Genomic DNA, 12,106 nt, shown 5'->3' with positions numbered 1-12,106 from the left:
CCTCCTCTTCCAAGGCTTCTCCTCCGTGGATTCTGCATGTCCGGCACTTCCGTGTATCCAGTGCTCACTTGAAGCACAGTGCTGTGGGCTTTCCCTGTGGGATCTCACCTGTTCCTACATCAGGAAATGAAAGTCCTATTTCCAGCTTTAGGGCAAAAACCTCAGAGTCCTCTCTGGCTCCTTCCTGTCACTTTACCTCGCCATCAGCAAACATTGTTATGTCTTTGAAAAGACTCTGACCTGCTTCTCACCCCCTCCACCAGCCACCATCTCTTACCTCGAAACAGCTCTCCCCTTTCGAGGCTTGCTCCTCACAGTCTAGTCTCCACAAAGCAGAGTGATCCCTTGAAAACAATGTCTTCATGCCTGTAATCCCAGTGACTCGGGAGGCTGAGGCAGTTGGATCGCTTGAGGCAAGGAATTTGAGACCAGCCTGGACAACATAGCAGACGCTGTCCCTGCAAAAAATTAAAATTAAAAAGTTAGCTGGGTGTGGTGGCACGCACCTGTAGTCCTATCTATTCAGGAGGCTGAAGTCGGGGGAACGGTTTGAGGCCGGGAGTTCAAGTCTGCTGTGAGCCACGGTCACACCACTGCACTACAGCTTGGGTGACAGAGTGAGATCCCATCTCTAAAAAAAAATATAAATATAAATAAATAAAAACAATGTCAGACCAGTCTCTCCTCTGCTTAAACCCTCCACCCCCCTCCCCTGCCAATATCTTCCCATCTGACTCAGAATAAAATCCAGTCCCTACCATCGATGATAAAGCCAGGCACAATCTTGTGTGCACCCCACCCGGACCCCACTCTCTGCTGCCTCTTGGACCATGTTCCCCTTCCACCCATCATGTTCACTCCTTTCCAGACACATTGGCCTCCCTGCTGGGCCTCACATGGCCAACCATGCCTCTGCCTCAGGGCCTTTGCGCATGCTGTCACCACTGCTTGAATGCTCTTCTCCTATAGATCCCCGTGGCTCAACCCCATGGCTCACCCCCACTCCTCACTAGGTTTCTTCTCAAAGTGATACCTTCTCAGAGAAGCTGTGATGGTGAATTCTAGGTGTCAACTTGACTGGGCCACAGGCTGCCCAGGTATTTGGTCAAACATTATTCTGGGTGTGTCTCTGAGGGTGTTTCTGGATGGGATTAACATCTGAATCAGTAGACTGCATAACACAGATGGCCCTCTGTATTAGTCTGTTTTCACACTGCTATAAAGATACTACCTGAGACTGGGTAACTTATAAACAAAGGAAGCTTAATTGACTCACAGTTCTGCATGGCTAGGGAGGTCTCAGGAAAATTACAATCATGGCGGAAGGGGAAGCAGGCATGTCTTACATGGCAGCAGGTAACAGAGAAAGAGAGAGCAAGAGCAGGGAAAACTGCCTTATAAAACCATCAGATCTCTGAGAACTCCCTCACTATCAGAGAACAGCATGGGGGAAACCACCCCCATGTTCCAATCATCTCCCACCAGGTCTTTCCCTGGACATGTGGGGATTACAGTTCGAGATAAGATTTGGGTGGGACACGGAGCCAAACCATATCACCCTCCCTAATGTGGGGGGACCTCACCCAATCACTTGAAGGCCTGAACAGAGCCGAAAGGCTGAGTAAGAGAGAACTCTCTCTGCCTGGCTGTCTTCGAGCTGGGACATTATTTTTTTCCAGCCTTCAGACTTGAACTGAACATCAGCCCTTCCTGGGTCTTGAGCCTAGCAGCTCTTGGGACTTGTCAGCCTCCATATTTGTGTGAGCCAATTCCTTACAATAAATGTCTTTATACATATGTGTGCACACATGTGTGTCCTCATTCTCTATGCCCTCACCTACTTGGTTAGACTTCACAGTTCTTTTCACAACCAGACACTCTATTTTATCATTTGTTGCCATGAGGCAGGACCCCATCTGTCTTCATCGTTGCTACATTTTCTGTGCCTCGAAGTGTGCCTGGCACATAGTAGGTGCTTAATAAGTATTTACTGAATAAACTCACAGATGAAATGAACCCAAGGTTGAGACTGTGCTTGGCAAACACAGAGAACACTCAGATGTGTGGAGCAACTAAACATCGGCCTCATTCTCTCCACTCCCCACTTCTTGGACCATCCACACAGGCTGACTCGGACGTCAGAGGCTCACATTTCCAGTTGCTTCATTAACAGAAACCAGCCCTTGTGTGGGTCCTCCTGCTGCAGAAGCCTATGCTTGTTGAAAACAATTCACAGCCTTTCCTCCCAAACCAGCAACCCTCCAGAGCTTTTCTGGCCAACACTCGACCCCGTCTAGGCATTCGTGGTAGGAGGGTTTCTCCCTATAAGTGACAAGGGGGCCATAGGAAACCCCCAACTCTCACCCCTCCAAACTGCTCCCTCCCACTTCCACTTAATAGGGAGGAAGCTTTCCTTGCAAAGGTAACAGGAAACAGAGCAGAAAGCATCTTCCTATGGAGGTGAAAATGGCTGAGATGGAGCCTTTCCTCAGAACTCACTGCATTTCACTGAAGTGGGAGTGGGGAGGGGGAAACAGGCTTTTGAGCCTGTTAGGAGCCTGTTAGGAGGAAAGGGAGGAGGAGGGGCAAGGGAGGGTAGGGGAGTTGGGGAGGGCAAAAAGGGGACCCAAGCAGGGCCCCACTAGCCCCAACAGACCCTTCGCGCAAATGAGAGAAAGGGGCCCCCTCTCCCAGACCTGCCAGTGTGGCCGGGCTCGTAGCCAGAGCTGGTTTCAGTCCCAGCTTGTCCCCTTGGCCATCACCTCTGTTCAAGGACAGTGGACACAGCCACATACCTCACAGGCTTGCTCCTGTCTGCCAACTGTGATTCCTCCCCCTGCCCCTGTTTCAGATCAGTCCTCAGGTTTTGCCTCCACAAGCCTCTTGGACCCCCTGCCACCCGCCTCACCAGCCCAACCTCCTGATTGTGGCCCGTCGCCCCTCCGGGAATAAGCTGTGTACTTGGCTGAGATTCCCACCTTCCCCGTGTCCCTCCTGGGACTTGGCAAGCATAAAACATGAGCTGGCGCATGGACAGAGGTCTTCAGCTTCCCTCTCCCGCTTTCTTCCCACGCAGGCTTTTGGACCAGGTTCTGAAAAGGACTTTCCTCAGGCCACTCCCCTGAAGAGGATAAGGGGTGAGGGACCCCAACCAGCATCTGAGATCGCACAGGGCACAGGGTGGTGAGGTTGGATCTCCTTCTGGCTCAAATGTGTGCCCCACCCTGTCCCACCAGCTCTTCTGCCTGGCACCCTCTGCACAGACAGGACCACCAGATCCTGCACTGTCCCTCCTCCCAAGCCCAGCCATAGTCCCAGCTTACCTCCCACCCCTCCTCCAGAAATTCCTTCCTCCTCTGTCAGAAAGTCTTCGCCATACACCCTTCTCCTCCCTTTCCCCATCCAAACCCTTGCCTGCTGAGTGGAGATAGATCAATCTCTCCTCTTTCCTGGAACTTCCCTTGGTACCTTAATCCCTTTCCCTGAATCCCTGCAGCTGGTGCCTCTGGGCCCTACATCTGCTCCTCAGTTGTTGGCTTGGCAGACGTCAATGAGTGCCTGCGCACGCCTTGCTCTGTGCTGGGAGCTGGGGATGTAGAGACAAGCCCACCACAGACCCTGTCCTCCAGGGGCCCCCAGATTAGAAGGGAAGTGTGGACATTTCTCCTTGGGTGCCCGGAGCCCTTCCAACTAAACATCCCGAAGCAAGCGCATCAGCCTCTCCTGGAGCCTGATCTTTCTCCTGGGCCGCTTCTTCCCATGGCACCAGCACAAATAATGATGGGGCAAAATCAGCATCCATGGGGACTGGACGAGGGTCCCAGTACTGCAAGGCCCGGGGAAGAAGATTCTCCAGGCTGAAAGGGGTGAAGGGGAGGAGGAAAGGAGGCTTCACCAAAGAGGTAATATTTGAGCTGAGCTGGGAAGGATGGGAGGGGTTTTAATCTGAGACGAGGAGGAGGAGGAGAGAGAATGGCAGAAGCCAAGGCTCAAGGCCGAGACATACACAGAGGGGCTGATTTGTAGGCACAGGAAGGGGAGAAGTGAGAGAAAAGGTGGGAAAGGATGTTCAGGCAAACCTTGGTGGTCCGTGCCAGGCGAAGAGCCTGCTTTTCCTCTACAGGCAATGGGCAGTCTCTGAAGGTTTTGGGAAAAACCTGCGAAATTGACTGGAGGAGGGAGAGGCTGCTGCAAGTCGGGGAGAAAACAGAGGCTTCGCAATGCTGCTGAGAGGTAATGGATGGAGGCTGACCCCGAAGGACGGACGTAGGAGAGGAGGCAGCAAATTTATGAGAATATAAGAGACAGGAAGGGGTAAGGCACAGGTCGTCTGGGAGGCAGGGAGAGGGGTCCCGGCGACGAGGACGAAGGGCAGCCACAGGAGTAGAGCGAGGTGGCTGGATCATATGCAGCATGCGGTCCAACGTAATAAACAGATGTCGGAGACCCACCACGTACGGGGTCGTTTTCTGCTCTCAAAGTGTAGGACTTGATAATGACAACGATCTGTGAAGGGCAGAATAGGGACAGTGGGAGGCAGACAGAGAAGCCGGCGGAGGAAGGAGGCGTACAAGCTTGGGGGCCTCGCTGAGTCCTGCACACCTCCGCTGTGGTCCAGGCTGAGCGCCTCCTCGCACTGTCCCTGCAGCCTGGCCAAGTGGCTGGGGTCCGCGGGCAGCCTGCGGGAACCGACCCGGCAGGAGCCCCGCCCACCTGGGAAGGAGGCGCCTCAGCGCCAGGGAGCCACGTAGCCACGCCCACCCCGGTGGGCCCGGGTGGGGCGTGGCCTCCAGAGACCGCAGGGACGCGACCCCCTGCCCTGAGCCGGGAACTCCAAGAGGAGGTCAGGCGGCCGAGCGCCACCGAGGTGTGGACACCTGGCACAGGTAGAGCCCCTGCGTTCAGTCCCAACTGTGCCCGCTGCCCGGGTGACCTTGGGTGGCTCAGTGAGTCTGTCTCAAAGGCCAGCGCTAACGCCTTTTAACTGTAAAACAGGGAGAGTTTCAGACACAAAGGAGGGGGTGTCCCTACCTCAGTGAAGGGAGGCTCCATCCTCCTGGCTGCTCCTGCCACCGCGGCCACCTTCACTTCCTCACCCCCCGTTTCTCAAAAGTCTCAGGGTCCAACTCCTAAACGTCTTCTGAATCTACCCACGTGTCTCCTGCCACCCTACCGCCCTGACCTGTAGAAGACCACCGTGCCCTCGCCATCTTATTGGCCACAGTGGCATTCTTCCTGGTCACTCCAAACCCACATTTGCCCCACTAATCCATGCGCTTCTCTGCATCCACAGTAACTTTTTAAATTCTTTTTTTTAAAGATGGGGCGGGGGGGTGGAGTCTCCCTATGCTGCCCAGCCTGGACTCCAACTCCTGGGCTCAAGGATTCTCCTGCTTCTGCTTCAGCCTTCCGAGTGGCTCTAATTTTTTAATGCAAATCTGCTTAAGCTCCTCCACTGCCTAAGAAACCTTTAAATCATTTCCTGCCACTCTTAAAATTAAATCACTCCTGATCACCTGCCTACTCCCCGGCTCCTCCTGTGTCAGTCTTTCCCTGTCTCCCAGTGTTTTGTCTCCCAGCTCCTTGCCTCTGGGCCTTTGCCCTTGCCGTCCCCTCTGCCAGGAACAACCTCCCTCCTACTCCGCCTGGATAACTCCCATGCAGCCTGCCACAGGGAGCTTAATTATCACTCCCCCTGCGAGACCTTCCCAGCACCCAAATTCAATCCACCCTGTTAGTCGGTTACATAGCACCCTGTACTACATCCTAGCACTTAATCTCCTTTTGCAAATACATACGTACCACTGTGATAGTTTTGTTTGTTTAATGTCTGTCCCACTGGACTATAAATCCATGAGGACAGAAGTGTCATCTTGTTAGCTGCTATATGCCCAGTAACCATAGTAAGTGTTGATGGAATGAAAGAAGGAAGGGAGGAATTAAACAAGGAAAGAAGGATGGAAAGAAAGGAGGAGGGGAGGAAAGACGGAAAGGAGGAGAGAGAGAGGGACAAAGGGAGGAGGGGAGGAGGAAGGTAAGATGGAAGGACTAGAGGCAGGAAACTGGAGGTCATCTCTGGATCCAGAGTCTGCAAGTATTCTAAGATTCAGGTCAACATAAGGTGGAAGATTGGTCAGTGTCTATGGAAAACTGACCTTACACAGCTCATCCCTGTCCACCAGGGGACAGAGGCAGAGCAGAAGCGCTGGGCCCAAGTTCTAATCTGGGTGTTTTCTGTCCACTGCTGCTGCTGCTTCCTCCTTTTTTTTTGAGGAGTCTCACTCTGTCACCCAGGCTGGAGTGCAGTGGCGTGATCTTGGCTCACAGCAACCTCTGCCTCCTGGGTTCAAGTGATTCTCCAGCCTCAGCTTCCCGAGTAGCTGGGATTATAGGTGCCCGCCACCACACCTGGCTACTTTTTGTATTTTTAGTAAAGATGAGGTTTCTCTATGTTGGTCAGGCTCATCTGAAACTCCTGACCTCAAGTGATCTGCCCGCCTTGGCCTCCCAAAGGGTGAGGCCTCATCACAAATGCTGATTTTGGACCTGTGTCTTCTTCTACGAGCCACATTGCTGCCACTTACAGAGGCTGACTCTTACTGCTCTTGGGCCCTCATGAGTGGCAGTGGGTTTTGCCAGCAGTAACTGAGATCTCCCTTTAAAGCCTCTGTATTCCTGTTATAATTGCTATGACCTCAAATGACCTTCTCTTTCCAGAGAGCTCTGGGAAGGGGTCTCTTCAAATGGGCATCCCACCTACTACTGCATACTATAGATGCTGTTACATAGTAGGCATTATAATATTGTGACTTTACCACCTGGTGAGTGACTTTTTACATCTTTCTTCATTTTAGTTTCATATTTCTTGATTTATCACCTGCGTGAGAACAAGCTGTCCCTGGTAATTTTCTCCATTTAGTGTTTATCATCCTTAGTTCATGTTAAAACAGAAGTATTTCTATTTTTTTTTTTTTTTTGGCGGGGGTGCGGGGGACAGAGTCTCACCCTGTCATCCAGGCTGGAGTGCAGTGGCATGATCTCTGCTCACTGCAGCCTCAACCCCCTGGGCTCAAGTGATCCTCCCATCTCAGCCTCCTGAGTAGCTGGGACTATAGGCACACACCACCACACCCAGCTAATTTTTGCATTTTTGGTAGAGATGGGATTTTGCCATGTTTCCCAGGCTAGTCTCAAACTCCTGGGCTCAAATGATCCACACACCTTGGCCTCCCAAAGTGCTGAGATTACAGGCATGAGCCACTGTGCCCGGCAAAACAGAAATATTTCTTATTCAAGTTTTACTCATTAATTTGTAGGCCACTATTTATACTCTTTTTATCAGCTCAGTAATAATATTTTCTGGATCTATTGTAAGTTCTTATTGTCTTCATAGTTTCATTAGCCATAAAATGAAACTAAATAGAGTAACAGTTGTTTAATTTAACATCTGAATCTTATTCTTGTTCAGGAAATAATTTAGATAAAAATAACTATTGTATACCCTGAATGGTGTATGAATCGACATATGGCTGTTTATAGAATTCCATTCTATTAATAATCTTAGAGTTTCCTGGTTTCTTTCTGATGCTAATAGAAATCCAACCTCCCATGCCCACTCCACCCGTCTGAACTTGCTATATCTGGGAATTTGGACTGTGAGGTAAGGGAGGGGCCTCAAAATCTGAAAGCTGTCATCCTTCACTGGGGGAATCTGACCTCAGGGAGAAAGAACTTTTCTCAAAGGTCAAATATTCACATGTGCAGACAGAACTCTTCCCCATTGCAAGTGAAGACCAGGTCTGGAGGCATCATCCCCTGAACTTGCAGGGAACAAGAGGCAACACAGAATGGCGCAGCTGGTGAACACACTGCACCCTAGGCGTGGCCCAGGGAGCTGTGCTGTTGCATCTGGGAGTGGCCCCAGAAACTGTGCTGTTGGACTGTAGGGGTGGCCCAGGGAGCTGTGCTGTTGCATCTGGGAGTGGCCCTGGAAGCTATGCTATTGCACCCTAGGAGTGGCCCAGGGAGCTGTGCTATTGCATCCTAGGAGTGGCCCCAGAAACTATGCTGTTGGACCCTAGGAGTGGCCCAGGGAGCTGCGCTCTTGGACCTGCCTGGAGAAACTCTCAGAGATGTTCTGGGGGCTCATAACTGTGGGCAAGGGGATGGCCAGGTAGCTGGGAGCTGGCTCAAACAGATGCAAGCAGAGGAGCTGGTCTGAAGAGTGTCTGGGGACAGGGAGAGGGGAGCAGAGAATCTGGGCTGGTTTTCCAGCTCTGTCCAGGAGGCAGCCTGCTCTGGAAGAGGCATTCACTCTCCAGGCCCTGCCCACCACACAGTGACCTCATCTGGGCTGGCAAGAAGGCCTCCAGTGACCCACACAGCTTCCTGGGTTGCGGTTCCAGACTCAGCCATGGGGCAGCTGCTGGACAAGAATGTAAGAGGCCCTGAAAAGTTGCTCCTGACCTCCTTCTACCCACAGTCAGGAGGCAAACCCACCATCAGGTTGTCTCTACTATTAGCCAGCCAGGGCCCTGGACCCTGGCACATCCCTAGGAGAATAGATGGGAAGTCATGATTCTGTCTCTGCGAAGGTTGTACCCAGACTTGGGGCCCAAAGCACAGGCCTAAATGAAGCCCTGAAGAAGAGCCACCTGCTGCCTCTCCCACCCTCTTCTGCCTCCCCTCTCCTTCTGCCTCACTATTTTCCTTTGGATTTCCCTCTCTAGGTCTCTGTCTTCTTCTTCTGTCCCTGCCTCGGTCTCTCTGCCTATTTCCCCATCAGACCTACCTCCAGTAGCAATCTGACTTTCTTCTTTCTAGGGCAATAAATAAAGCCAAAGGAGGAAAAGCAATGACAAAAGTGAAGGGGAAGGTGTTTTTTGCCCAATCCCCATGCAAGGTCTGTAGGATGGGGAGGTCGAGGCACACTGGGGCGGAGACTTGAGGCAAGTGAGGCCAATGGGTGCCAGCCATTTGCTGGGTGCCACAGCATGACTGTGGCATGAGGGAAAGAAAACCTGAACTCACGGTGTGGAAAGTCCATTTGGCATTGGGAGTAATTTTTACCACTTAGCTGGGGCAAAGAATGCAAAAACCTGCAGCTGGGCTTTCACTGCTGGCCATGTTGGAGTCACTAGTACTGGGCTCGCCCTCAAGACCTGAACAACAAAACATACAGAACAACTGTTTCCAGTCACTGGGTCACAGCCTGCACAGGACTGGAATTGGTGTTGGTTTTTGTTTTCCACACAGCAGAGCATTTCACCGAAGGACTGTAATTGTTGAGAAAGAGGAATACATGAGGTGAGAACTGCATTTGCCTTACATTTCTACCCACAGCACTTTCTAGATGGCAGAGATCAGATTGCGGGGCTGCTGAAATGGCTGGAATTTGAGGGCCAGTATACCTGTTATGGGCTGAACTGTGTCCCCCCAAAATATGTATGTTGAAGCTCTGACCCCAAGTCCTTCAGACTACAGTTGGAGATAAGGCCTGGCAAGAGGTTATTAAATTAAAAATGAGATTGTCAGGGTGGACCCTAATTTAATCTGACTGGTGTCCTTCTAAGAGGAAATTTGGACATACAGAGAGACAACTTCATTTGGTACTTCTAGCCTCTAGAACTGTGAGAAGGAAACTGTAGCATCTACAGGGGTTCCTGGTGGGTGATTGGCTAAGGGCTAGGTTGCTATACACAGGGAAAGACTTCACAAAGCCCATCAGAGAGTGGCTGCTGTGAGCTGAGAGCTGAACAGGGTTACCACAGTTCATGCAGGGCCCAGAGACAAAGTTCTAGTCCAGCAAAGAGTAGTGAGACCTCAGTGAGCACTTCAAGCATCTAGGAGTAATCTCAGAAAAACCACACCTTTAGGAGTAACAACCATACCCTAGAGTAGGTGCTGTACTCTGGGACTGAGGAAAAAACACATAGCAAAGAAAAAAAAAAACTAGTCTGGCAGGATCAGGATGATCCACCTGTAATTTAATGTGTTCCAGAACAAAACTCAATACCTTTTAAAGAAAGAAAATATAAACTGGATTCCCTACAATGTATCATCCATAATACTGGGCATATAATAAAACATCTTTAGACATGAAAAGAAGCAGGAAAATGTGGTCCATGATAAGCAAAATAGACCCACAGTTGTTTATTGTAACAACTATGGTTACATATTTGGGAGAAACAGGCTTCCAAATAACAGAGATGTTAGAATTAGTAGATAGAGACTCTTAAACAGCTATTATAAATATGGTCAGGGATTTAAAAGAAAAAGATATACATAACGAGTGAGCAAATGTAAGAATTTTAGCAGAAAATTGGAAACTATAAAAAAGATCCAAATGGAAATTCTAGAACTGAACACTATGAGATCTAAAATTAAAAATTCCTGGATAAACTTAATATCAGATTGGAGGCTGCAGAACAAAGGGCCTACAGTTACCTTGAAAACAGATCAACAGAAATGATCCAGTCTGAAGACCATAGGAAAAAATAATTTTTAAAAAATGACCAGAGACCAACTGACCCATGAAACAATGTAAGTTATCTATATGGTTTGGCTGTGTCCCCACCCAAATCTCATCTTGAATTGTAGCTCCCATAATTCCTACATGTTGAAGGAGGGACCCAGTGGGAGATCATTGAATCATGGGGGTGGTTTTCCCCATACTTTTCTCATGGTAGTCAATAAGTCTTAAGAGATCTGATGGTTTTGTAAGGGTTTCCTCTTTTACTTGGCTCTCATTTTCTCTCTTGCCTGCTGCCATGTAAGACATGACTTTCACCTTCCACCATGATTGTGAGGCCTCCCCAGCCACAGGAACTGTGAGTCTATTAAACCTCTTTTTCTTTATAAATTACCCAGTCATTTCAGCAAAAAATGGCTGAAAATTCCCACACATTTGGTGAAAAACATGAATGTACAGATCTAAGAAACTCAGGGAACTCCAACCAGGGTCAATACAAAGAAAAACACACTAGCCGCATCATAATCAAACTCCTGAAAACTAAAACACAAGAGAAAAATCTTAAAAACATCCAGAGGTGGGGGGAGGGCAAGAAGGACACATTAAGCACTACAAGTGACAGCTGACTTCCCATAAGAAGCAATGATGATGAGGAGACTATGGAACAACATCCTTCACCTGCTAAAAGAAAATAAAACCCTATCAACACAGAATTCTATATCCAGTGAAAATGTTTTTCAAAAATGAGGGAATACAGTTTCAAAAAGTAAAATAAAATAAAAGCTAAGAGAATTCATTGTCAGCAGATAAGCATACAAAAAATGATAAAGGAAGTTATTGAAGTTGAATGGAAATTCAACTACAGTCAGAATGAAAGGGTGGGGCCTTCCTCTCAGTCTCTCCACGTGGCATGCATCACCAGCAAGGCTCATGTTTGCAGCAATGGCTTCCCATTTCTCTCTGAGTCACACTGAAATTCTTACAATAGCAGAGAAGACCATGTTGTGCTGGCTTATGTTCTCCCCAGCCTCCTCTCCTCCGTTCTTCCCCTCCATCATTCTGTTGCAGCCACATTGGCCTCCTTGCTGTTCTTCAAACTCACCAGGCATGTTAAAGCCTTTGCTCTGGCTGTTCCCTATGCCTGGAATGCTGTTCCCCCAAATATCCCTGGATCTCTCCCTCCCTTCCTTCCAGTCTTTGTGCACATCTCACCTTCTCAACAAGGCATGTGCTGATGCCCTTATTTAATACTGCAACTGCCTTCTCTCTCGATTTCTCTACTGGCTTCTATGCCTCTATTTTTGTTTTTGCTATGGCACATTAACCCTCTAGTATACTTTATAATTTGCTTATTTCTTCTGTCTATTGTTTATTGTCTGTGTTGCCATGCTGGAAAGCAAGCTCCATGAGGACAGAGAGGTTTATTAGCTTATTTATTAATATACCCCAGGATGTAAAAACACTGCACAGTACACAGTAGGTTTCAATAAATATATGCTGAACAATGAGCAAAATGTTGTGTCTTTTGTTTATTGCTCTTTTTGTTATCTTTTTCTTATTGATTTATAGAAGGTCTTTATATATTATTAGCTGCATTTGGCCTTTGCTGGCTTCATACGTGGCTGATATTTTCTT

The sequence above is a fragment of the Homo sapiens genome, chromosome 7 (assembly GCF_000001405.40).
Source record: "Homo sapiens chromosome 7, GRCh38.p14 Primary Assembly".
NCBI lineage: Eukaryota > Metazoa > Chordata > Mammalia > Primates > Hominidae > Homo > Homo sapiens.
Note: the sequence above shows the minus strand (reverse complement) of the source record.